Below are 27,288 nucleotides of genomic sequence, written 5' to 3'. Positions count from 1 at the left end.
CCCACTTTGGCCTCCCAAAGTGCTGGGATTACAGGCATGAGCCACTGCGCCTGGCCCAGGTGAAAGTTTATTGACAGACAAGATTAAATAATACCCCACAAATTAGTTATCAGTTACAAAGAGAAAATGGTAACTACCATGGAAAAACCTTTGCAGCCACGACCTTAACCATGTGATCAGAATCAGTTACCAACAGGAGGAAAAACTGACATAATGTGCTTACTAATGTGACGCACTGAAAGGAATATGTGTTAGTCTTATCTGAATCTAAACCTCAGGAAACAGACATCCCAAACTGAAGGACACTCTACCAAATAACCAGCAAGTAAGCTCTCCTCAAAAATGTCAACGTCATGAACGACAGACTATGTAAGACAAAGGACCTTGTTCCTAGGAGATACAAGTTTCTAGGAACACAGGGTCACGAATCTGCAACTGACTTTCAAAGGGGTCAATTAAATAATTATATTGTATATGTTATACAATTATATAATTATATAATGTATAAATACATAATATAAATATATAAATATATATAATCATGTTAGATATAATTATACATTAATTATATTAATAATATAATTAGATATATCTTATATGCATATTATATATTATTAGATATATCTACGTATGGAAGAAATAAAGCAAATGGAGAAAATGTTACCAACTGGAGAATCTAGGTGAAGTGGATACAATACACTTCTTGCAACATTTCTATCGGCTTGAAAATTTTCGCAATTAAAAAGTTTTTTTTTAATTTTAAGAACACATTTCTGGAAATAACCTGAGTCAACATAGGGTGCTATGCCTTATTGAGCATCTGTACTGCTAAACACATATACCACAATTGCAAACATCACATTTAATCCTCAATTCATGGAGGAATTAGGAGATAGATAGGGCATATTACCCTATTTTTAAAATAAGGAAACTTAAGCCTAAGAAATACTTTGCCTTAAAAACTTACTATATATCTCACCTATGGATAAAAAAACTAACTCGAGAGGAAAAAGAACAATACCCAGAGGTGTGAAATAAAAATCAGCTCTAGATGATAACACTGTGTACTATTTTTCTTTCTAGTTGTATTGATTTTTCAGATTTCCACCTAAAAAAATCGAATTTATGCTCAAAAAATACAACTTAAAATGTTTAAAAAAGTAAATAATTTTACAGTAAGGCACAAAAGAGATCTTTCTAGAATTTAATAAACTTAGTTATTCTAAGTTATCCAACTATTTGGATTCCCAGGTTTCATGATTGCAAAAGGCAGGAATGGGATGTGAATGGGCAGACAGTAATTCAGTTCTTGGTTTCTTTTCCTTTGATTTGTTTACAATGGAATATTTGCATGTTTTCTCCAAGGACGTTGTACCTTCTTGCTGGCCAAGACATCCAGGTCACAGCAGATTCGGGCACGTGTGGAAGAAGGTTGGATGATGTCATCCACAAACCCTGGTGAAGCACAGAAAAGGGAGTGGATCATCTGCATCCCGAGATGATGCCACCCCTCAACCTTCTGCTCAGCCTGGGCACCATCCCTGGGGCCAGCAGTATAAGCAGTGCCCAACCTGATACAGAGATGGTAGGCCCTGTGAATTCCCCCTTGTATCCCAGGAGCTGGCCTGTTCTGACAGCTCCCCAACTTCTGGCCTAGGAGCACTTGGCAAGAAAAGGAAAATCGGACACCCTCCCTATACCCTGCTTGCTCCAATGCCTCCATCCTGCCACAATGAATTCAATAGGAAATAAAGAAAATACATCTAGGTTTTCAAAAATGGCTATAACAATTCATCCTTGTACACAAGTCCTGCAATGTGACTTTACCACTTCTCTCTTCAAGAGGTGGATTTGTATTCCTTCGCTTAACCTTGTTGAGTTTTCTTGGCCTATAAAATGTGGCAAAAATGACACTGTGCAACTTCCAAATCTAGGCCTCAGTTTCCCTTTGCCCCCTTGCTACTCTCGGGACACCATGTAAGGAAGCCTGGACTAGCCTCCTCAAGGGTGAGAGGCCACGTGGGGAGTGAGTCTAGCTAACAGCAACTACCAAGTAAGTGACGCCATTTTGGACTGTCAAGCCCCGGTCAAGCCACAGAATGACTATACCTGTGTGGGTGATCCCAGGCAAGACCAGCACAAGAACCACTCAGCTGGGCCCAGACCAAATTGTGGACCCCACAGAACCATAAGCAGTGGGGGAAACGGTGGTTAGTTTAAGCTGTTGAGTTATAGGGTGAATTTCTGCACAGCACTAGACAACTGGAACAACACCTAGAAATTTAATACACTTTGGCAATGTTGTTTTAATTGTGGTTACCAAAGCAGCCTGTCCCACAGTCCTTAGTCCAAGTGATGACTGCCCAGGGACAGTCCCAACCCTCACTAGTCAACAGATTAGACTGCAAAGGCAAAAAGGCAGTTATGTGACAATTTCTGTAGAGAAAGAATGAGCAAGTTGACCAAACAAACAAAGCTGCCCTCTTCACCACAGTCCCCTACCTCGCACTGCTGCAGGGAAAGGGTTGGCAAACTTCTCGATGTACTCTGCCTGAGCAGCTTCCACATTCTCATGCCCTTTGAAGATGATCTCCACAGCGCCCTGTGATTAGAGGAGTTCATGAACATCTTTGGTCGTCCCAACCTGGACAGATCTCCTTCAACTCATTATCACTGTGTGTGGGTGCAAATTTCTTGGTAAATCAGTGTACTGAGGGGAAGTGCCATCTCTAAAGGCCATAGCATAGAGGGAGGAACTGCCTGGGGCTGACCATCATGACACAAGGGGCTGCATGATGGGATGTGATGCTTCCCTGTGGCCCCAATAAGGGGCAGTCAGGCAAAAGCCAGTAGCTTCTCTCCCCAGAGCCCATTCTACCATCTCCATTTGCACTCATCATATTTCTTTGAGCCAAAGATGTTAGCCCTGTTTTCCATTATTAAATCCATGGTCTTGTATCAAGGGGAATTAAATGTGCTATTTCCCTTTTTCGGTACCCTAAGACCTGAGTATACAATTCGGTGGCCAGAGGCGACCAGACTGAACTGGAAATTAGAAGGATTGGCCTTCAAGTCAGAGCACCTATAAGTCAACTCTAGGGGACCTGGAAGTTATCTGATTCGACCACAATAGCTACTTCAAAGCAGGGAGGAGTGAGGAATAGGTCAAGCAATAGGAAGTACCTTGTCCAACGTCACTAGGGTCGGACCTACAGTTTAGCTTCTTATGAGCTTAAAAGAGTAGCTCTGGGGCCCTCCCTGGAAGCTGAGGTGGAGCTGGGAGAATGTCCAATACTTCTGAAGGTGACTTCAGTTGACTCAACCCTTTGCCCCCTTTACTTACAATCTCAAAACCACTCTGGACCCCTCTCACTTTCCTTTCACCTGCCGCACCCACCTTGGCATGAAGACACCAGCGTGGGCCTGAAGAAAGGGTATAGGACAGGAGGCAGAGCTATCTCTGGAGCCCCAAGAGGGAGACTTACCAAGGTCTAGGTCCCATTCACCTCAGTCCTGGCTCAACCTAGGGGCCCTGGCCTCTCTCCAACATTTCCCAGCTATGCCTTGAGCTCTCGCTGGTAGAGTCGAGTCCTTGGACCCAGAAAGGGAAAAGCAAGAGGCCCTCACCTTTGCTCCCATGACTGCAATCTCTGCGGTGGGCCAGGCATAGTTGGTATCACCACAAAGGTGCTTAGAGCTCATGACATCATAGGCACCTCCATAGGCCTAAAACAGATCCAAATGCTGAGTGTTAGAGCCTGAGACAGCCAGATCATGTCCCTGAAAGACCCCAGGAAACCAGGTAAAATTGGGACAAAGAACAAGAATAGCCCTACTGGGCTCCTGAAGGCCCACGGTCTGTAAGACCTTTCAAAGTTAATGCTCATTATCTTTTCTGGCTTTTTCCCACTACTGCCTTCAGTTCCCCTGTGTTAAAAAAGCACAGACATTTCTGCGGGGCTGGGAACAACATCCTCAAGAGATCTTTTTAAGGATGAGCAAGGTGTACTCCTTCCAGCCCTGGTAAAACTCTGCCAGACCTCCCACCACGGCTATGCTGTAGGAAAGTGAGCAGGGTCATGGCCTCCAACATGAGGTCCTCACCTTCCTGGTGATGACTGTGACTTTGGGTACAGTTGCCTCAGCAAATGCGTAGAGAAGCTTGGCACCATGCCGGATGATGCCCCCGTATTCCTGTGCTGTGCCTAGACATGAGGAAGAGTTACTAGATACCCACAAGTCCTCACATGGTTATCCTGCCACTCTCAGCTGTGAGGTCTTTCCCACCTCTGGAGAGGGCCATTCCTTACACAGCCCTATCTTCTGGACACCCAGAATACATGGAGAAGTCACAAGTCCTCGGGGAGTTCTGCAAGAAGATCTCCAAATAAAGTGGGCACCTTACTGGGAAAGGCAACTCTCCTAGCCCCCACTCTGTCAAAAACTTACCAGGTAGAAAGCCAGGGACATCAACAAAAGTGATGAGTGGAATATTGAATGCATCACAGAATCTGACAAAACGAGCCCCTTTCACAGATGAATTAATATCCAAGCATCCTAGAAAGAGAGAGATTATCCATACTGAGTATCCAGGCAATTCCCAGTTCTATCCACAATGGGGATTTGTCCTCAGCAGCCATCCAAAGCTGGTTTCTGTGGAGGCACCAACACTTCTTTGTTGCAGAATGGTAACAAGGACCCCTCAAACTCCAGGAAACAGGGAAGATGAAGAATCCACCTGTCTGTCACTGGCCAAAGAGGCCCAGAACTAGACTACTACAGACTCACTACAGACCAAAGGGCTGCCGCCAGCTGAGACACAGCCGGCCTTGCCGCAGGGAGCCATCAGTGGGAGGCAGCATTCAAGGGCTGGTCTTAGAGAGTCCTCAGAGCTTCCAATCAGATTCTGGCTCCACTGATGATGGCAACGTGCCCTTGAGAAATTACTTTGCCTTTTGACCTAAGGTTCCTTACCTGCAAAGTAGGGACGATACTGCCTCCTAGCATAGTTCCAAGGAGTAAAGGAAATGGAATCTATAAAGCAGCACAGAGTAGGAGCTCAATTACTAGTAAATCTCCCCTCCTAGAAGAGTTTCCAACTTAATTCTATGAGACCAGTATTACCCCAATACCAAAGCAAGACAAGGACCATCATCAGAAAAGAATACAGACCAAAAACATAAATGAAAAATTTTTACTTTTTAAGTAAGGCACATTATCAAGTCCAGCAATATATACAAAAACAGTAGGCCAGGCGCGGTGGCTCATGACCGTAATCCCAGCACTTTGGGAGGCCGAGGCGGGCAGATCACGAGGTCAAGAGATCGAGACCATCCTGGCTGACAAGGTGAAACCCTGTCTCTACTAAAAATACAAAAATTAGCCGGGTGTGGTGGCGGGTACCTGTAGTCCCAGCTACTTGGGAGGCTGAGGCAGGAGAATGGTGTGAACCCGGGAGGCGGAGCTTGCAGTGAGCTGAAATCATGCCACTGCACTCCAGCCCGGGTGACAGAGCAACACTCCATCTCAAAAAAACAGTAATACATCATGTCCAAGTGGGGTTTATCCCAAGAATTCAAGGTTGATTTCAGCATGTGAAAACTAATGAAATTATTAAATAAAGGAAAAAAACTATATGAACATCTCAATAGATGTAGAGAAAATACCTGAAAAAATTTAATATCCATTCATGAATAAAAACATGGCCCGGCACAGTGGCTCACACCTGTAATCCCAGCACTTTGGGAGGTCGGGCAGGCAGACCACTTGAGGTCAGGAGTTCAAGACCAGCCTGGCCAACATGGTGAAACCTCATCTCTACTAAAAAATACAAAAATTAGCCAGGCGTGGTTGCAGGCACCTGTACTCCCAGCTACTCAGAAGGCTTGAGGAAGGAGAATCACTTGAACCCAGGAGGCAGAGGTTGCAGTGAGCCAAGATTGCACCACCACTCTAGGCAACAGAGTGAGACTCCATCTCAAATAAAAAAAAAAGGAAAGGAAAGGAAATAAATAGGCAAGTCACAAGCCAGGCCCTAGAAATCAACAATAAAAAGACAATGTAGTCCCAGCTACTCAGGAGGCCAAAGTGGAGGACTGCTTAAGCCCAGGAGTTTGAGACCTGCCTGGGCAACATAGTGACACTCTGTCTCTAAAAGAACAAAAAAAAATGGCCAGATGTGGTGGCTCACACCTGTAATCCCATCATTTTGGGAGGCCAAGGTGGGCGGATCACCTGAGGTCAGGAGTTCAAGACCAGCCTGGCCAAAATGGCAAAACCCTGTCTCTACTAAAAATACAAAAATTAGCCGAGCGTGGTGCACACCTGTAATCCCATCTACCTCAGAGGCTGAGGCAGGAGAATTGCTTGAACCTGGGAGAAGGAGGTTGCAGTGAGCCAAGATCATGCCACTGCACTCCAGACTAGGTGACAGAGTGAGACTCTGTCTCAAAAAAATAAAAGAAAATGGTATGAAAGCTCTGTGCCTTTTTAATTACACTTGTCCCATTTCCTCCCTGGTTCTGGAGGAAGCAGAGCAGACCTCATTCACAAATTTCCGCATATGTCTGCTCTAACCTGTCTGTGGGCTGCCTGAAGGACTGACACAAGGAACACATCTCTGTTTCACCTAACTCAGAACTTATCCAGGCTGGAAATGTAGCAGGCATTTCTTTAAATCATGGTAAGGTAGAGGAACAACCTGCAGATGTCTGGGCAAAAGATTACTGTTGAAACCACCTAAGATATGGGAGAAAAAAAAAACAGAGAGTGTCTTTAGGAAATTAGTGCATTCAAAAGCACCCGTGAATAGGGAGAATTCAGAAAGACACATGTATGCCTAGGATGAGATACACGATCAGAAAAGATCTGAGAGGGGAAATAAGAAAAGAAGTTGAATGAAAATGAAAACACTATTACAAAATAAAAGACCAGAGAAAACCTTAAACTTTAACCTTGAGCTGATCTCAAACCTTAGTTCAAGTTTGGCTAAGCATCAAAGGAGAGCCCCAACACAGAGACAATTTCAAGACCAGGAGTTTTCTTGTTTGTTGTTTCTTGGTTTTAGTTCCTGGTGTTCAAGAAAATTTCTGTCAAATATACAAGTTAAGAAACAGGCTGGGCATGGTGGCTCACACCTGTAATCCTAACACTGTGGGAGGCTACTTTGGGAGAATCTCTTAAGGACAGGAGTTCAAGACCAGCCCAGGCAACAGAGCAAGACCCTGTCTCAAAAGAAAGAAAGAAACAATAAGAAGAAACAGGGACTTCAGTGACCACAAATGACAAAAAATATAGTCTCTGGAAAAGTCATTGCAAAAAGACACTAGGCAAACATATATGACATTAAATATCAAAAAAAAAAAAAACAAAGCTTGGGAAAAGAGGAAAATTTGACTGCCAGCGTTACCACATTATAATGTATAAATACCCCATTTTCAATTAAAAAAATCACAAGGTATAAAATGAAGAAACTATCCCTAAGTAAGCATAGACACTGAACTTACTAGAAAAAGACTATAAAACACTACTAGTGGGTTTTTTTTTTTTTTTTGAGATGTTTTGTTTTGTTTCTGAGATGGAGTTCTGCTTCTTGTCACCCAGGCTGGAGTGCAATGGCGCCATCTCAGCTCACTGCAAGCTCTGCCTCCCAGGTTCATGTGATTCTCCTGCCTCGGCCTCGTAAGTAGCTGGGACTACAGGCACCCTCTGCCACGTCCGGCTCATTTTTTGTATTTTTAGTAGGGACAGGGTTTCACCACATTGGCTAGGTTGGTCTCGAACTCTTGACCTCAGGTGATCTGCCCACCTTGGCCTCTCAAAGTGCTGGGATTACAGGCAGGAGCCACCATGCCCAGCCTAAACTAGTCTTAAATATATTCAAAGAGGTAAAGGAAAACATGGACAAAGAACTAAAGGAAATCAGGAAAATAATGAAAAATTCTGGAGCTGAAAAGTACAATAAATGAAATGAAAAATTCACTACAAGGATTCAATAGGAGATTTGAGCAGGCAGAAGAAAGATCAGAGAATATGAAGATAAAACAATTGAAATTACTCTGAGGAGAAAATAAAAAAATTAAATGAGCAGAACCTAAGGGACCTGTGGGACACCCACATGTGAACCAACATACACAGGATAAGAGCACCAGGAGAAGACTAAGAGAAAGTGGCAAGGAGATAATCTGATGAAATAATGTCCGAAAACTTCCCAAGTTTGATGCAAGATGTGAAACTAGAAATATAAGAAACTCAACTAACTCTAAGAAGAATACATTCAGAAACCCACACTGAGACATATTATAGTCAAATTACTGAAAGACAAAAGAGAATCTTAAAAGCAGCAAAAAAAAAAAAAAAAAACTCATCATTTACAAGAAATCCTCATTAAGATTATCCAGTGATTTCTCAGCAGAAACTCTGAAAGCCAGAGACAGCAGGATAACATATTTAAAATGCTAAAAGAATAAAAGTGTCAACCAAGAATTCTATATCTGGCAAACTGTCCTTCAAAAATGAGAGAAAATTTAAGAATTAAGACATTTTCAGATAAACAAAAGCTGAGGCCCTCAGTACCAACCAGCCTACTCCACAGAAAAATGCTAAAGGAAGCCCTTCAGGTTAAAAGAAAAGAACACTAGACGGTATCACAAAGCTACATTAGGAAATAAATATCTCAAGTAAAGATGACTACATGGGCAAATATAAAAACCAGGATTTGAGTATTTTGGTTTCTAACTTCACTTTTTATTTCCTACATAATTTAAAAAGCAAATAAAGCCCAGGTTTCAACTAGTGAATTCTACCATACATTTAAGGAAGATATTAATACCAGTTCTCTACAATCTTTTCCAGAAGACAGAAGCAGAAAGAATACTTTCTAACTCATTCTATGAGTCCAGCATCACTCTGATACCAAAACCAGACAAAGACATTGCAAGAAAACTATATCTCAATATTGCTCATAAACATATATGAAAAAATCCTCAACAAAATATTAGCAGATCAAATCCAACAATGCAGAAAAAGAATTACACATCAAAACCAGGTGGGATTTATCTCAGGTATGTGAGTTTAGTTCAACAGTCAAAAATCAATTAACGTAATCTATCATATCAACAGTCTAAAGAAGAAAAATCACATGATCATATGAATACAAAAAAAGCATGTAACAAAATCCAAAATACATTCATGACAAAAACTCTCAATAAACTAGGTATAGAGGGGAATTTCTTCAACTTTATAAAGAACATCTATGAAAAACCTACAACTAACATCACACTTACTTGTAAGAAACTAGAAGTTTTCCTGCTAAGACCAAATGTCCCCTCACCACTATCTTTCAATATTGTATTGGAAGTCCTGGCTAATGCAGGAAGACAAGAAAATAAAACGTATACACATTGAGAAGGAAGAAATCAAACTGTCTTTGTTCACAGATGACAAAATTGTCCATACAGAAAATCTGAAAGAAGTGACCAAAAAATAACTGCTGGAACTAATAATATAGCAAGGTTGCAGGATAAAAGGCTAATATACAAAAATCAATTACTTTCCTATATATTGGCAATAAACCAGTAGAATCTGAAATTTAAAACAAAATACTATTGGTATGGGATAGCTCTGTGTGCCCGCCCAAATCTCATCTCAAATTGTAATACCCATGTGTTGAGAGAGGAAGCTGTAATCCCCATGTGTTGAGGGAGGGACCATGTGTCAAGGGAGGGAGGTGACTGGATCATGGGGGTGGTTTTCCTCACGCTGTTCTCGTGATAGTGTGTGAGTTCTCATGAGATCTGATGGTTTTATAAACATCTGGCATTTCCCCTGCCTGCACTTCTCTCTCCTGCTGCCATGTGAAGAACGTCTGCTTCCACTTTGCCTTCCACCATGATTGTAAGTTTCCTGACGCCTTCCCAGCCATATGGAACTGTGAGTCAATTAAACCTCTTTCCTTTATAGAATACCCAGGCTTGGGTGGTGTCTTTATAGCAGTGTGAAAACAGATTAATACAACCATTAACCTCAAATATACTGCTCTTATGCAGGATTTTGGACATATGGAGGCTGTGCATGTGTGCATGTGGGAGCAGAAGGTGTACAGGAATTCTATGTACTTTCCATTCAATTTTGCTGCAAACCTGTAACTGTTCTGTAAGTCTATTTTTTTAAAGAGGTTATACACTGTGATCCAGTGGGATTTATTCCAGGAATGCAAAGGCAGTTCAACATAAGAAAATCAACATAATACACCATGTTAACAAAAGGAAGGACAAAAACCACATGATCATCTCAATTGACACAAAAAAGGCATTTGACAAAATCCAACACCCTTTCATGATAAAACAAAGAAAATCATGAACAGATGGAAACTTCCTCCATATTATAAAGGGCATTCATGAAAAACCCACAGCTAACATTATACAATAATGAAAGATTAGGTTTTCCTCCCTTAACATGAGGAACAAGACAACCATGCCCACTTTCACCACTGCAATTCAACAATGTACAAGAAATTCTTGCCAGAGCAATTAGACAAGAAAAATAAAAAGCATCCAAATTGGAAAGGAAGAAGTAAAACTATCTCTATTTGCAGAAAATATGACCCTATATATAGAAAATCCCAGCAAATCCACAAGAGGGCTAATGAACAAATTCATCAACTTTCATAATATTCACAATATTCACCAGCATTATTCACAACTAAAAGGTGAAAATACCCCATGTCCACAGATCAACAATCAAACAAAATGTAGCAATATAAATTTTGAAACAAAAGCTAACAAAGTTAATAAACCCAGCAAAGTTGCAAGTTACAAGATCAACAAAAATCAGTTTTGTAGTTGTGCTTCTATACAGCAGCAATGAACAATCCGAAAAAGAAATTGAGAAAGCAATTCCATGTACATGACATCTAGAAGAATAAAACATTTAGGAATAAATTTAACCAAAGAGGTGATAGGCTTGGACTCTGAAAACTACAAAACACAGCTGAAAGAAATAAAAAAAGAAGAAAAATGGAAAGACATTCTGTGTTCATGGATTGAAAGACAATATTGTCAAGGTGTCAATACTACTCAGAGTAATCTACTGATTCAACACCATCCCTATCAAAATTCCAACAGCCTTTTTTGGAGAAATGGGAAAGTCACTACCAAAATTCATATGGAATTTAAAAGGGCCCCAAATGCCTAAAACAATCCTAAGAACAACAATAAAGTTGGAAGACACACTTCCCAATTTCAAAACATATACAAAGCTACAGTAATCAAAACAGTGTGACACTGGAATATGGACAGACATACAGACCAACAGAATAGTGTTAAGAATACAGAAACAAATTCATACACCCACAGCCTGTTGATTTCCCACAAGCACGCCACACCTGTTCAATGAGGAAAGAATAATCTCTTCAACAAACGGTGCTGGAATAACTGGATTTCCACATGCAAAAGAATGAAGTTGCACTCCTATCCAATACATATAAAATTAACTCGAAATTAAAAGCTAAATGTAAGGGCTAAAACCGTAATACTCTCAGGAAAAAAACAACAGGAACATACCTTCACAACCTTGAATTTAAATTCTTATATACGACAACAAAAGCACATGCAACAGAAGAAAAAATACAGAAATCAGATTTAATCAAAACTAAAAACTTTTCAGCCAGGTGCAGTGGTTCACACCTGTAATCCCAGCACTTTGGGAGGCCAAGGTGGGCAGATCACTGGAAGTCAGGAGTTCGAGACCAGCCTGGCCAACATGGCGAAACCCCGTCTCTACTAAAAATACAAAAATTAGCCCAGCATGGTGGCACATGCCTGTAATCCCAGCTATTTGGGATGCTGAGGTGAGAGAATGGCTTGAAACTCGGGGCACAGAGATTGCAATAAGCCGAGATCGTACCATTGCACTCCAGCCCGGGCTGGAGACAGCAAGAGAGCGCGAGACTCCATCTCAAAAAAAAAAAAAAAATTGTGTATCAAAAGACATGATCAAAAGAGTGCAAGGACAACCTATAGAACAGAAGAAAATACTTGTAAGTCAAATGTAAGAGTTTAATATACAGAATATACAAGGAACTCCAACTCAACAACAAAAAACACACAAAATTAAAAAATGGAAAAGGACTTGAATAGACATTTTTCCAAAGAAGATATACAAATGGCCAATAAGCACATGAAAGGATGCTCACCAAGACTAATGTTGATGAGAAATGCAAATCAAAAACACAATTCCATTCACTTCACATCCACTAGGATTACTATTTTTAAAAATTAATAATAAGTGTTGGCAAGGATGTGGAAAAACTGGAACCCTTGCACATTGCTGGTGGGAATGTAAAATAGTGCAGACACTGTAGAAAACAGTATGGTGTTTCCCCAAAAAGTTAAACCTAGAATTACCACATAACCCAGTTATTTTGCTTCTGGGTACACACCCAGAAAAAGTGAAAACTGAGGTTCAAACAGATACTTATATATCAATGTTTATTCCAGCATTATTCACAGTAACCCAAAGGTGGAAATAACCCAGGTGTCCACTGACAAATGGACAATCAATCAAAATGTGGTATATACATGCAACATAATATTATTCAGCCATAAAAATAAATGAAGTTCTAACATATGCTACAATATGGATGAATCTTGCTAAATGAAATAAGCCTGATTATGCTAAGTGAAATAAGATTGATATAAAAGGACAAACACTGTATGATTCCATTTATATGAAATATCTAAAATAGGCAAATTCATAGAGAGAGAAAGTAGATTTAGAATAGCAAAGGCTGGAGGCTGAGATAAATAGTGAGTTATTGTTTAACAGGTTCACAGTCTCTGAGGAGATGAAAATGTTTGGAAACAGTGGTGATGGTTGCATACACTTTGTATGTAATCACTGCGGTTGCACTACTTTAAATGGGCCAAACAGACATATTTTGTTATATATATTTTACCATGACAAAATTTTTTTTTTGGGGAGGTGGGGACAGTGTCACTCTGTCATGCAGTGGCGTGATCTCGGCTCACTGTAACTTCTGCCTCCCGGGCAGTGACACAATCCCCGGCTCACTACAACAACCTCCTCCTCCCCGGCTCAAGCAATTCTCCTGCCTCAGCCTCCCAAGTAGCTGGACTACAGGCACGTGCCACCACGCCCAGCTCATTTTTTGTATTTTGTATTTTTAGTAGAGACAGGGTTTCACCATGTTGGCTAAGATGGTCTCTAACTCCAGACCTCGTGATCCACCCGCCTTGGCCTCCCAAAGTGCTGGGATTACAGGCGTGAGGCACCACACCCAGCCAAAACAGTTTTCTAAAGACAATAAAAAATTTCCATGGCAGAAATAAGATGAGGTTAGGTCATGAAGAAAGACAGATTCTTCCTAAACAAGGATACAAAACAAATCTAAGAGGAAAAATATTGAGGAGAGAAGTGGTATTCACAGTCCCCACCCCAGCACTCCCAATCCCTCCCAGAGCACAGCCATGGAAGAGTCTCCCTCACTTGGCTGCGAATCAGGTCTGGCCATATCACCAGAAAGCTGTGGGGCACAGACATGGTAAGATGCCATTAACTTGTCACGTACCATCTATGTGCCTGGCACTGTTGAAGGCACTGGAGATACTACTGTGAATACGACATCACCACCCCTGCCCTCATGGAGCTCATGATTAGTGGGTGAGTCATATATTTAGCTGGGGGTAGGGGGGAACAGAAAACTGACCCCTAAAAAATTGAAAACCTTATACACTAAGAATGTAAGTTTCCTATAAACCTTTGAAAAGGAGTATGAAAGAAGCATTTTGAGATATTAAAAGTAGCTTTTATAGGCCAGTTGTGGTGTCTCATGTCTGTAATCCCAGCGCTTTCGGAGGCTGAGGTGGGCGGATCACTTGAGCTCAGGAGTTCAAAACCAGCACAGGCAACATGGCAAAACCCCATCTCTACCAAAAATACAAAAAAAGAAAATTAGTCAGGTATGGTGGTATGTGCCTGTAGTCCCAGCTACTCGGGAGGCCGAGGTGGAAGGACTGCTTGACCCTGGGAGGCAGAGGGTCCAGTGTGCTGAGATCACACCACTGCACTCCAGCCTAGACACCAGTAAGACCCTGTCTAAAAAAAAAAAAAAAAAAAAAAAAAAAAAATTAGCTTTTATAACAACCATTTAGATTTTTTCCTCTGGTCATGGAAGGCCATGTCTGAAGAACAGGCAAAAGACAGAAAGGATACCATGGACCCAGGCTTCCCTGGCCTCCAACCCCAAAACCAAGGCTTATAAGAGCTCCATCCTACCTGAGGCCACCTTAGGTTGGTTGCCAACAATTCCAACAGTCCTCCCATTCATTCTTGCAAAACCAACAATGATGTTCTTGGCATAATTGGGCATGATCTCAAAAAATTCACGCTCATCAACAACCTGCAGGAATAAATTTACTTCTGAGCTCAAAATGGTAAAGACAAGTATAAGATGTAATGACACTACAGAATGACATTTCTATTACAGAATTACAGAGGTAGAGGTAGACAGCTCCAGCTCTATCACAGGTTCTCCAAGGAAGCAGGACAACAGGCAGAGGCAGCACCTCCTCCCTGCTGGGGAGAAATGGTGTGGAAAACCTCAACTGCTGCTAAGATGGACACACCAATGAAGTTTGTTTTAAAAGTCCTATTTGAGTGTGGAATTTTTGTGACAACTTTACCTTTTCACTTTGAAATTATTTCCAACCTAAATAAAAATGTCAGGCCGGGCCCAGTGGCTCACTCCTGTAATCTTAGCACTTTGGGAGGTCGAGGCAGGTGGATCACCTGAGGCCAGGAGTTCAAGACCAGCCTGGCCAATGTAGCGAAACCCCATCTCTACTAAAAATGCAAAAAATTGGCCTGGTGTGGTGGCAGGCACCTGTAATCCCAGCTACTCAGGAGACTGAGGCAGGAGAATCGCTTAAACTGGAAGGCAGAGGTTGCAGCAAGCCAAGATTATGCCACTGCACTCTAGCCTGGGCAACGGAGGGAGATCCTATCTCAAAAAATAAATAAATAAAAATAAAAAATTCAAGAACAGTACATATACCCTTCACCCCGATTCTTCATTATTATTTTACTACAAACTATTCTGCTTTTTTTTTTTTTCTTTTTTTGAGACAGGGTCTCCCTCTGTCACCCAGGCTGGAATGCAGTGGTGCAATTATGGCTCACTGCAGCCTCGATCTCCTGGGCTCAAGTGATCTTCCCCACCTCTGCCTCCCAAGCAACTAGGACCACAGCTGTGCACCACCATGCTCAGTTAATTTTTTAATTTTTAGTAGAGATGAGATCTCGCTATGTTGCCCAGACTGGTCTCCAATTCCTGGCCTTGAGCAATCCTCCCACCTTGGCCTCCAACATGCTGTGATTACAGGCGTGAGCCACTGTGCCCGACCATCACTCTCTCTTTTATATATATATAAACACATAAGAACATTCTTTTTTATAACTACAGTGATATTATCAAAATCAGGAAATAAACATTACCACAATACTATTTTTTTTTTGAGACAGGTCTTGCTCTGTGACCCAGGCTGGAGTGCAGAAGCATGATCACAGCTCACTGCAGCCTTAACCTCCAGGGCTCAAGCAATTCTCTCACCTCAGCCTCCCAAGTAGCTAGGACTACAGGTATATGCCACCAAAAAAAAAAAATTATATTTTTTGTAGAGACAGGGTCTTGCTATGTTGCGCAGGCTGGTCTCAAACTCTTGGCCTCACGCAATCCACCTGCCTCAGCCTCCCAAAGTGCTGAGATTACAGGCATGAGCCACTGTGCCCAATTCACAATTTTCTTTTGTTTGTTTGAGACGGAGTCTCGCTTAGCTGCCCAGGATGGAGTGCAGTGGCACGATCTCGGCTCACTGCAATCTCCGCCCCCTGGGTTCAAGCAATTCTCCTAAGCCTCCCGAGTAGCTGGGACTACAGGCACGCACCACCATGCCCAGCTAATTTTTTTGTATTTTTAGAGATGGTTTCACCATGTTGGTCAGAATAGTCTCGATCTCGACCTCGTGATCCGCCCACCTCGGCCTCCCAAAGTGCTGGGATTACAGGCGTGAGCCACCGCGCCCGGCCACTATTTCTTATTATATGACATTATTCAAGTTTGCCAATTGTTCCAATAGTATCCTTTATAGCAGCACAAGCAACAAAATTCTGGTCCAGAACCTGAGCCAGGATCACCTGGTGCTTTTAGTGGTTATATCTCTTTAGGCTCCTTTAACTTTCCCCCTCCATCTTTGTCTTTCATAATCATGACATCTTTGAAGACAACAGACCAGTTAATTTGTAAAGCATGACTTCTATTTGGGTTCCTTTGGTATTTCTTCATGTTTAATTTTGAGCTAAGCCTTTCCACAGGAGTACCACAGAAGGAGCATTCTCATCAAGTGGCACAATGTGTTGATTTGTCCATTAATGATGGTGATATCTGCAGGTTTCCTTGTAAAGTTACTATTTCTCCAATTTAATAAGAATTTTGTGAGGAAATACGTTGAGACTACATAAAATCCTGTTCTTCAAACTTTAATCATTAATCTAGTTCTTCATCCACTAGGTTTAGCATCCTAGCAGCCACCAAGCAGCCATGATTCTTGCCTGACTCATTACTGTCATGATAGCTGCCAAATGGTGAGTTTTTTTGTTTTGTTTTTTTGTTTTTGTTTTTGTTTTTCTTGAGACAGGGTCTTACTCTGCCACCTAGGTGGGAGTGCAGTGGAGCAACCTCAGCTCGATGCAACCTCCACCTCCCAGGCTCAAGCGATCTTCCCACCTTAGCCTCCCAAGCAGCTGGGACCACAGGTTCATGCCACCATACCTGGTTAATTTTTGTATTTTTAGTAGAGACAGGGTTTCACCGTATTGGCCGGGCTGGGCTCAAACTCCGAAGCTCGAGCAATCCGCCCTCCTTACAAGTGTGAACCACCACACCCAGCCCAAAGGGTGAGTTTTCCAATTCCACTTTTCTTCTCCATTTATTAGCTGACATCTACCACAAGAAAGATCTTTGCCTTTCCCATTTACTTATAGGTATCAATATGAACTTATAGATTGTTTTATTCTATGGATTATAATCTTTCACCATCATTTTATGTTTAAATTGTCCTATATTTACCAAAGTTCCTTCATGCTGGTTCCTGTGTCCTTCTAAAGTGTCCCCATCATTCTTTGAGCACTACCTTATATTTTGGAAGTATCTTACTTTCTGGTTCATCTTGGTTTCTTTCCTGCCCCAGCCCTACAATCAGCCATTTCTCCAAAAGGCCTGGGTTCCTTTTAGGGATGTGTGTGTGTGTGTGACTCCTTCTAAAACGTCCAAAGTCCAGCTATATGAAAAACCATGAGTTCATGCTGATAATTCTAATCCTACTCCAGTGCAACTATAGGGTTCATTCTAGATTTTTTTCTCTTGCCATATTCACAACTCCCTTCTCCGATAGCAGAATCTGGCTGCTACTACCCTCAAAATGTACTTATTTATTCGATCCTCAAATACAGAGAAAATGGTTTCAGAACTGCTAACTTAGCTACAAAAAACAGACCTACTAGCTAGAATTTTTTTACAGCTATTTTGGTCTTTAGATTAAAGGTATATAGTCAAAATATAGGTTCAAAAGACACTCATTTAAAACAGGTTCATGTTTGTATTTCATTTTAAAGGTTTTCCCCAGTCTTGATTTTATTTTTTAATATGTAAAATACTAATACAGTTTAATAGTGTTCCTTCCCCATCCCTTCCACCCTAGTCCCACCTACCCTGTTATTAATCTCATTATTTTCTGATGTATTATGTGTGTGTTTGCATTTGTATCTTTTAATTTACCCTTCTTACATGGAAAGTAACAGTACAGACACTCTTGCACTTTGAATTTTTTCACTTAATATGTCCTGGGAATCACTTCCTATCAGTTCATAGAGATCATCATTCTTTTTCACTTCTGCATAGTACTGTACTGTGTGATGTACCAAAGTTTATTCAACCAATCTACACGTGGCTTACATTATTTTAAAATTTACATTTAGGTTATTTAGAGTATCTCGCAATTACAAATGACAACGTAATGGTCGTAACCTCGTACATCTATAATTTTGTATGGTGGGAAGTGTATCTTCAGGGTAAATTGCTAGGAATGGGATTGCTGAGTTAAAGGGCAAATGCTAATTTAGTCCTGGATAATACCAGAGTCCCCTACCAGCAATGCACAGGAGTGCCTGCTTCTCCACTGACTTTCCAATGGAAAGTGTTTTCGGGGTTTTTATTTTTAGCCAATCTAACATATGAGAAAATACTCAGTGTAATTTGAATTTGTATTTCTAGCATTATGTATGAAGTTGAAAATCTTTTGACATGTTTAAGGTCCATTTTATATCTTTTTTGTGAGCTATCTATCCGTGGTTTTTTGCCCACTTTTCTATCAATTTTGGTTGTTAATCCCTCAGCATAAGAGCTCTTTATTAAGAATATTCATACTCTGGGATACATGCTGCCAAGAGTTTCTTCTAGCATATTGGTTGCCTTTTGATTTTATTTATAGTTTTTTGCTATGAAGAGTGGGATTTTAAAATTTTCACAGTCAGCTTTGTCTATCTTTCACTGAAACTAGTTGAGTTACAGTTCAAAAGCATTTCTAAACCTTCCCCTAAGGTTTCAGAGGAATTCATCTGTGTTTTCTTTTAGTGCTTGTATGGATTCACAGATTATATTTAGTTTTCTGACCCATTTGTAGTTTATTTTTGTACATGGTGTAAAGTATGAATCTAATTTTATATTTTCCTAAATGGCTAGTCAGTTGCCCCAGCATCATTTATTAAAAGCTAATTTTTGCCCCTGAGATTTGATAAAATATCATTATCATATACAGTTGGGCACTACACAAAGAGGTTCTGGTCAATGACAAACTGCCTATAGGAAGGTGGTCCTATTGTAATACCCTATTTTTACTGTACCCTTTTTATGTTTAGATACATACTTACCATTGTGTTACAACTGCATACAGTGTTTGGTACAGTAACGTGCTATACAGGTTTGCAGCCTAAGAGCAACAGACTATACCACAGATCCTAGGTGTGTAATAGGTTATACCATCTAGGTTTGTGGAAGTACACTCTATGATGGTCGCACAAAGAAACTGCCTAATGATGCATTTCTCAGAACACATCCCTGTTGTTACGCAACGCGTGACTGTACTAAAATTCTGTATGTACTTGAGTCTATTTCTGGCTCTTTTATTCTATTCCACTGGTCTATTTATGTGCCTGTACCACAGTTTTAACTATAGGATGCTGTAATATAAAGCATGGCTAGTCCCCACTTACAGCTTTTCTTTTGCAGTATATTCTTAGGTATTCTTGCACTTTTATTTTTCCATGTGCACTTTTGTATAAACTTATCTAGTTCTAGTTTTTAAAAACTGTTTATTGGGATTGCCTTAAATTTATAGAACAACTTAAGAATCACCAGTTTGTTAATAACATTAACCCCAGGAACAAGGAATGTCTTTCCATTTGTTCAAGTCTATTTTAATGTTTTGTTTTGTACAGACAAGGTCTCACTATGTTGCCCAGGATGGTCTCAAACTCCTGGGCTCAAAGGATCTTCCCTCCTCAGCTTCCTAAAGTGCTGGGATTACAGGTGTGAGCCACCATGCCTGGCCTACTTTTGATTTTCAAAAGTGTTTTTAAGATCACCCTGGGCTGGGCTTGGGGGCTCACACCTAAAATCCCAGCACTTTGGAAGGCCAAGGCAGAAGGATCGCTTGAGCCCAAGAGTTCGAGACCAGCCTGGGCAACATAGCAGGAATTCTTCCTACAAAAAAAAAAATATTAAATCAGGTGTGTGTGGTGATGCATGCCTGTAGTCCTGGCAATGTGGGAGGATTGCTTGACCAGGAAGTTGAAGCTGCAGTGAGTTGTGACTGGGTCACTGCACTCCATCCTGGGTGACAGAGTGAAACCCTGTCTAAAAAAATAAATTTGCCCTAAAACAGCTTCTGTACATTCCTGTTAAAATTATTACTAAATATTTTATCTTCCTGTTGCTATGTAAGAGAGGCTTTTACTCTACCATAATTGGTTACTGCTTGCGTATATGAAGATTTCTATATGTTAATTTTGTATCCTGTTCCTCAAGTATTGTTTTAGTATAATAATGCATTCTCTAGAGTTTTCTTGAATACTACAATACTATATCACCTACGTTACAGCTTGACATCTCTCCCAAGGCTTTTGTCTCTAATTGGTCCTCTTCTTGGATAACTGTATTGGTTAATATTTCCAGAACAATGTTAAATAATAATGGGAATAATGGGCATCCTATACTTGTTCCTAATCCTAGTAGAAGCTAGTCTTTATTAGGTGAGATGCAGGCTTTTGAAAAGGTCTATACCAAATTTTATTACATTAAGAAAGTATTAATTCCTATTTTATGAAGTCTATCAGGAATAGGTATTGATGTTTCTTAAAGGTTTTCTTCAGCGTCTATATAAATAATTGTGATTTTTCTCCCCTATATGTGTTAATACAGTATATTATTGAGTTTCCTAGAACCAATCTTGCATTCCTAGAATACATCCCAGTAGGCCACAGATATAATTTTAAAGAAATAAGCAATATGAAACTGAAATCTTAAGTACTACCTTTATCAGGTTCAGGTACTGATATCATACTTCTTTTAAAAAATTTTGGAAGGTTCTTGTGTGTTTTGTTTACTTTCTATGCTCTGGAAGAATTTATGTGGCACTAGGACTATTTGGCCCTTAAAGGTCTCAGAAATTCCACATGAAACTATTTGGGCCTGGTGTTTGTTTGTTTGAGACAGAGTCTTGCTCTGTCACCCAGGGTAGAGTGCCGTGGCACAAACATGGTTAACTGCTCCCTCAACTTCCTGGGCTCAAGTGAACTCCCACCTTGGCCTCCCCAGTAGCTGGGACTACAGGTGCATACCACCATGCCTGGCTTTTTTTTTTTTTTAGATGGAGTTTCGCTCTTGTTGCCCAGGCTGGAGTGCAATGGCACGATCTTGGCTCATCGCAACCTCCGCCTCCTGGGTTCAAGCAATTCTCCTGCCTCAGCCTCCCGAGTAGCGGGGATTACAGGCATGTACCACCACACCTGGCTAATTCTGTATTTTTAGTAAAGACGAGGTTTCTCCATGTTAGTCAGGCTGGTCTCGAACTCCCGACCTCAGGTGATCCGCCCACCTCGGCCTCCCAAAGTGCGGGATTACAGGTGTGAGCCACCTTGCCTGGCCCTAATTTATTTTTTGTAGAGACAGAGTTTCGTCATGTTGCCCAGGCTGGTCTCAAATTCCTGGGCTCAAACAATCCTCCCGTTTTAGCATCCCAAAATGTTGGGATTATAGGCATGAGCCACTGAATCCAGCTCCTTGTGCTTTTTGGTGAAGTAATTCCTTCCGTGGAATTTGGTGGTTCATTTAAGCTTCCTATCTCTGATGGGATCAATTTCTGTTAAACTGTGTTTTCCAAACAAATTTTCCAATGTATCTTGTCTCTTAGAATTTTTTTTTTTTTTGAGACAGGGTCTCACTATGTTGCCCAGGCTGGAGTATGATGGTGCAATCACAGCTCACTACAGCCTTGAACTCCTGTGTTCTAGCAATTCTCCTACACTGAGGCCTCTCAAGTAGCTGGGACTATAGGTGCATGCCACCACACCCAGTTAACTTTAAAAATTTTTGTAGAGACAGGGACTCACTATGTTGCCCAGGTTGGTCTTCAACTCCTGGCTTCAAGCGATCCTCCCACCTCAGCCTCCCAAAGTGCTGGGATTATAGGCATGAGCCACCACACCTGGCCTCTTAACGATTCTTAAGTTTCTTCTTTTTCAATGGTTATTCCCTTTCTCACTTCATACTTCTGCTTTTACTGTCTCTTTTTTGAAGTTAGCCAGTGTTTACTAATTGCAGCTATTCTTCTATTTCCATCATAAATTTCTGCATTTATCCTTATTAAATTATTTCTTGGATTTATTCTGAAATATTTTACAGGGTTTTTTCCCCTGGCTTTTCCAGTTGGGAATCTGTTTTTCTTTTCTTTTTTTTTTTTTTTTTTGAGATGGAGTCTTGCTCTGTCACCCAGGCTGGAGTGCAGTGGCACGATCTGGGCTCACTGCAACCTCTGCCTCCCAGGTTCAAGCGATTCTCCTGTCTCAGCCTCCTGAGTACCTGGGATTACAGGCACATGCCGCCATGCCTAGCTAATTTTTTGTATTTTAGTAGAGACGGGGTTTCACCGTGTTGCCCAGGCTGGTCTCAAACTCCTGAGCTCAAGCAATCCACCTGCCTCGGCCTCCCAAAGTGCTGGGATTACATGTGTGAGCCACCGCACCTGGCCTGTTTATTTTCCTTCTCTGATTTTTACTGTTTCAGGAAACAGATTTTCATCTGTTCATCGTTTTAAACATATTCTATAGGTTTTGACACATAGTGTTTTGTCTTTTTTTCTTTTAGAATTCTGTCATTTGGTTTCTATTTTCCCCTTTCATCCAAGAATTGTTTACTAGAAGATTTATTTCCCGGCTGGAGGCTACTTTTGTTTTAGTTGCTACAAAAGTTTCTAATTTTAAGCAATGTTGTTTCACAGTATTTTTTGCTCTATGGGATTTAATGATGTTTTCTTTCTGATCTAATACATATGATCAACTTTTGTGAATATTCCATGTGCACTTCAGAATAAGATTTATTGTTCATTACCAGGGTGTAAAGTCCAAAAGAAATGTGTAAGATCTACCTATTACGTTATTTAGGTCTCCTAAATTATTACTTTTGTCCATTTGACCTGCTTTGTAATAACAATGCTGTGTATACATCTCCTATTCAGTCTTTCTACCTAAGTCTGTTGAATCTCCTATAGTTTCAGCTTTATAAAGATGGTGGTTATTTCTGGCACAGATATTCGATATGCTTTACATTATCATTGTGAACTATGGCTTTTAGCAGTTGAAAATGTCCTTCCTGGGAAGCTGAGGCAGGAGAATCACTTGAACCTGGGAGGTGGAAGTTGCGGTGGGCTGAGATTGTGCCACAGCACTCCAGCCTGGGTTACAGAGTGAGACTCCATATCAAAAAAAAAAAAAAAAAGTCCTTCCTTATTATGGTTAATACCTGAACTTTACTCTGTTCAATATTAGTGTCACAAATACTGCTGTTATTGTTTCCATTCTCCCAGTATATTTCTGCCCATTCCTTATTTTTAGCCTTTCTGAATCACATTTATATACTGAATATAATTGGTCCATAACAAATTAGACATATTTTTAACAAGTGAATCAAACCCATCCATATTTATTGGTATGACACTTTTTTACTATCATATTATTATTATTATTATTATTATTTTGAGATGGAGTTTCACTCTTGTTGCCCAGGCTTGAGTGCAATGGTGCAATCTCGGCTCACCACAACCTCTGCCTCCTGGGTTCAAGCGATTCTCCTGCCTCAGCCTCCCGGGTAGCTGGGATTACAGGCATGTGCCACCACACCTGGCTAATTTTGTATTTTCAGTAGAGATAGGGTTTCTCCATGTTGGTCAGGCTGGTCTCAAACTTCCAACCTCAGGTGATCTGCTCGCCTCAGCCTCCCAAAGTACTGGAATTACAGGCATGAGCCACCACGCCTGGCCTGTCATATTATTTTTTATAATTACTATGTATTCTATATTTATTGTCTTTTACCTTTTTTTTTATTTTTCCCCTTTATCATTACCCACAATGATATATACTGTTTATGTGAGTAGTATTAAAGAATGTTTGTATTTTTTAGTCTAGTGGTTACCTTTGTAATTATGCCTTTTGATGCCTTTAGTTCATTTCCTTAATCTTTTATTAACTAGTTTGTTTTTAATGATATCTGTTAGCTAACAATAATCAGTGAGCTGATTCTGCAATATTCTTCCCCTCTCTTCTCCTCCCATTTTTCAGTTGCATTTTTTTCTGAAACTAAACATATAGTACTTATACATTGTTCTCTACCCTCATCCCCACTTCTGTTTTAGTCTTAGAATTATAATTAAGTATATTAGATAATCACTACCAATCCTTTTGTTGAAATTTCTCCAGCTACCTCTTGATTGGATAAAGCTCATTCTCTAGTAGATTCCTCAAGAAAGCCTCATTAACACAAACTTCCCTCGGTTCTTGGTTTAAAACTGGTTTTCTGCAGTCTTAATACATGAAGGTGAGCTTTGCTAAACATAAAATCCTTAGTCACAGATTCTTTCCTTCAGCCTCCTGAAAGTGCTTTTCTGTTGTTTCCTTGCTTTTCTACGTTGCTTTGGAGAAGTTGGATGCCATTTTATTCTCTTGCCCTTGTAAGTCATTTGATTTCTGCCCAAAGGTCCTGAGTATTTCTCCTTATTTTAAAAATCGAACAGTTAATATTTTCTCTAGTTTGACAATTCTGGGTCAATTTTCCCACGTGCTCAGTGTGCTCTTTCATTATATAAATCTGAATCTTATTTTATTTCTGGACTATTTTCTTGGATTACAGTTTTAAATATTAAGTCTGTTCTACTGGTTTTTCTTCAGACACTCCAATTATATGTATGTTCATTCTTCTTTGCCTTTCATTGTAGTCACTTTTTTCTCATACATTTAACTAAGAATTTTAAAAAATTAATCCCAGATGTGACAATATAACCAATAATTGTATTAAAGGTATCTGTACTATTTTAAAATTTTATAATTGCATATATGTACAACGTACATGTTTTCATATATGTATACAGTGTAGGATGACTAAAGCTAGTTAACATATCCACCACCTCACATACTTTTTTGTGGTGAGAATGTAAAATCTACTTTTACTTTTTTATATTATTTCATTCATTTTTTAGGCTATTTATCTACTTTTCTTTAATGTTCCTTATTAAATTTTCATTGAAATACATTCTCCTTTGAGCACCTTGCAATTTTGATATCATTTCTGATGCAATTTTGTCTCCCCTGCCCATTTTCTTAATTCAATCAGCTTTAACTTCTTACTATTATCTCTCCATCTTGTCATTAGTTTCTGAATTTTCTATTTTTACAACCTCAAATGCTTATCAGGGGCTACTGCACTCAGATTGAAGCATAGTCAGCTGCTTCATGATTGACTTTTACAGTGAAGGGAGTTCCATCAACTGACATGTTTCATTCTCACTTTTTGTTTTCTTATTGTAGCTTTATATAAATGAAAACTATTTGTATCTGCATTCTCCAAAGCTGGCAGATGAACAAATGAACAAAAATCCTAGTTCAAGAGCACCCTCTTCTGTCAGTATAGCAAAGTGCAGTTTAGTTCATGGGTGACTAATTTTAGGGAGGGTGATGGGGAAAGATGTAGTGTCCTTCAGTGTATTCGATTTTGTATGTCTTGCAGGTACATAAATGTAACCCCCTTGCTTCATTTTCCCTTCACAATTTCCAAAGGTACCTCTCTCTTTCCTTTGTACTCTTCTTCCCCAGAAGTAATGCCTTCCCCTGACTACCGTATTGATTTGTGTGTGCACTCTTAAGTAGCTTCTAAAGTCACTGCTTTGACTCTTTTCTAGCATATTCACTTTTTTTCTTTCTTTTTTTTTTTTTTTAGAGACAGTTTCACTCATCGCCCAGGCTGAAATGCAATGGTGCAATCTCAGCTCATTGCAACCTGTGCCTCCCCAGTTTAAGTGATTCTCCTGCCTCAGTCTCTCCAGTAGCTGGGATTACAGGGACACACCACCACACCCGGCTAATTTTTGTATTTTCAATAGAGACAGGTTTTCACCGTGTTGGTCAAGCTGGTCTCGAACTCCTGACCTCAAGTGATCCACCCGCCTCAGCCTCCCAAAGTGCTGGAATTACAGGCATGAGCCACCACGCCCGGCCAGAAGAAGTTTTTTTAAAAAGCAAAATAAAAAAGTGTAATAATACAATACTTTTTGAGTTAAAAGTAAATATATGGTCTAGGTGCAGTGGCTTACACCTCTAATGCCAGTAGTTTGGGAGGCCGAGGCAAGTGGATCACTTGAAGCCAGGAGTTTGAGACCAGCCTGGCCAACATGGCGAAACCCCATCTCTAAAAATACAAAAATTAGCCAGGCATGGTGGCACACACCTGTAATCCCAGCTACTTGAGAGGCTGAGGCAGAAGCATCTCCTGAACCTGGAAGGTGGAAGTTGCAATGAGCCGTGATCTCGCCACTGCACACTGGCCTGGGCAACAGAGTTAGACTCTGTCTCAAAGAAAAAAAAAAGTGAATTTGGAGAGAGGGATGTTCCAGAGGTAATTAAAGTTAAACGGGGCCATAAGAGGGGGACCCTAATCTGTTAGGACTGGAATTCTTTTAAAAATTGGAAAAGCTGGGTTGGCGCCCGTGGCTCATGCCTGTAATCCCAGCACTTTGGGAGGCCGAGGCAGGCGGATCATGAGGTCAGGAGATCAAGACCATCCTGGCAAACATGGTGAAACCCCGTCTCTACTAAAAATACAAAAATTAGCCAAGCGTGGTGGCGGGTGCCTGAAATCACAGCTATTCAGGAGGTTGAGGCAGGAGAATCACTTGAACCCGGGAGGCAGAGGTTGCACTAAGCTGAGATTGTGCCACTGCACTCCAGCCTGGCGACAGAGTGAGACTCCATCTCAAAAAAAAGAAAAGAATTGGAAAGCCAGCCGGGCACAGTGGCTCACATCTGTAATCCCAACACTTTGGGAGGCCAAGGCGGGCAGATCACGAGGTCGGGAGATCGAGACTATCCTGGCTAACACGGTGAAACCCCGTCTCTACTAAAAATACAAAAACAAAATTAGCCAGGCATGGTGGTGGGTGCCTGTAGTCCCTGCTACTTGGGTGGCTGAGGCAGGAGAATGGCGTGTACCCGGGAGGCAGAGCTTGCAGTGAGCCGAGATCACGCCACTGCACTCCAGCCCGGGCGACAGAGCCAGACTCCAACTCAAAAAAAAATAAATAAATAATTGGAAAAGCCAGCCTGGGCAACATAGTGAGTTGCCATCTCTACAAAAAATTTTAAAATTAGCCAGATGTGGTGGCATGCAGCTATAGTCCCAGCTACTCAGGAGGCTGAAGTGGGAAGATCACTTGAGCACAGGAGGTCAAGCCTGCAGTGAGTCAAAGTCACACCGCTGCACTCCAGCCTGGGTGACAAAGCAAGACCCTGTCTCTGAGGGAAAAAAAAAAAAAAAAGACGAAGAGATACCAGAGATCTCTTTCTGCATGCACTGAGAGCAAAGACCTCGTGAGGACACAGCAAGAGTGTAGTCCA

General features: G+C 40.8%; 1 protein-coding gene across 3 annotated transcripts in view; it reads right to left on the bottom strand.

Annotated features, from left to right (window-relative positions):
- The window catches only part of PCCB (propionyl-CoA carboxylase subunit beta), a 79,830-nt gene continuing 53,732 nt past the window's right edge, over window positions 1,191-27,288 (bottom strand). For 2 of the 3 annotated variants that reach the window (NM_001178014.2, NM_000532.5), the window contains 6 exons: window positions 14,296-14,419; window positions 4,450-4,557; window positions 4,105-4,205; window positions 3,628-3,726; window positions 2,503-2,602; window positions 1,191-1,455 (listed from right to left, as the gene is read on the bottom strand). In NM_001178014.2, the coding sequence (NP_001171485.1) occupies window positions 1,334-1,455; window positions 2,503-2,602; window positions 3,628-3,726; window positions 4,105-4,205; window positions 4,450-4,557; window positions 14,296-14,419 (654 nt within the window). In that variant the 3' untranslated portion in view covers window positions 1,191-1,333. Of the gene's footprint in view, window positions 1,456-2,502; window positions 2,603-3,627; window positions 3,727-4,104; window positions 4,206-4,449; window positions 4,558-4,945; window positions 5,035-14,295; window positions 14,420-27,288 lie in introns of those variants that run through there. The other variant, XM_011512873.2, reaches the window with a different exon arrangement.

Source organism: Homo sapiens, chromosome 3 (assembly GCF_000001405.40).
Source record: "Homo sapiens chromosome 3, GRCh38.p14 Primary Assembly".
Taxonomy (NCBI): domain Eukaryota; kingdom Metazoa; phylum Chordata; class Mammalia; order Primates; family Hominidae; genus Homo; species Homo sapiens.
This window is presented reverse-complemented; position numbering and strand designations above follow the sequence as displayed.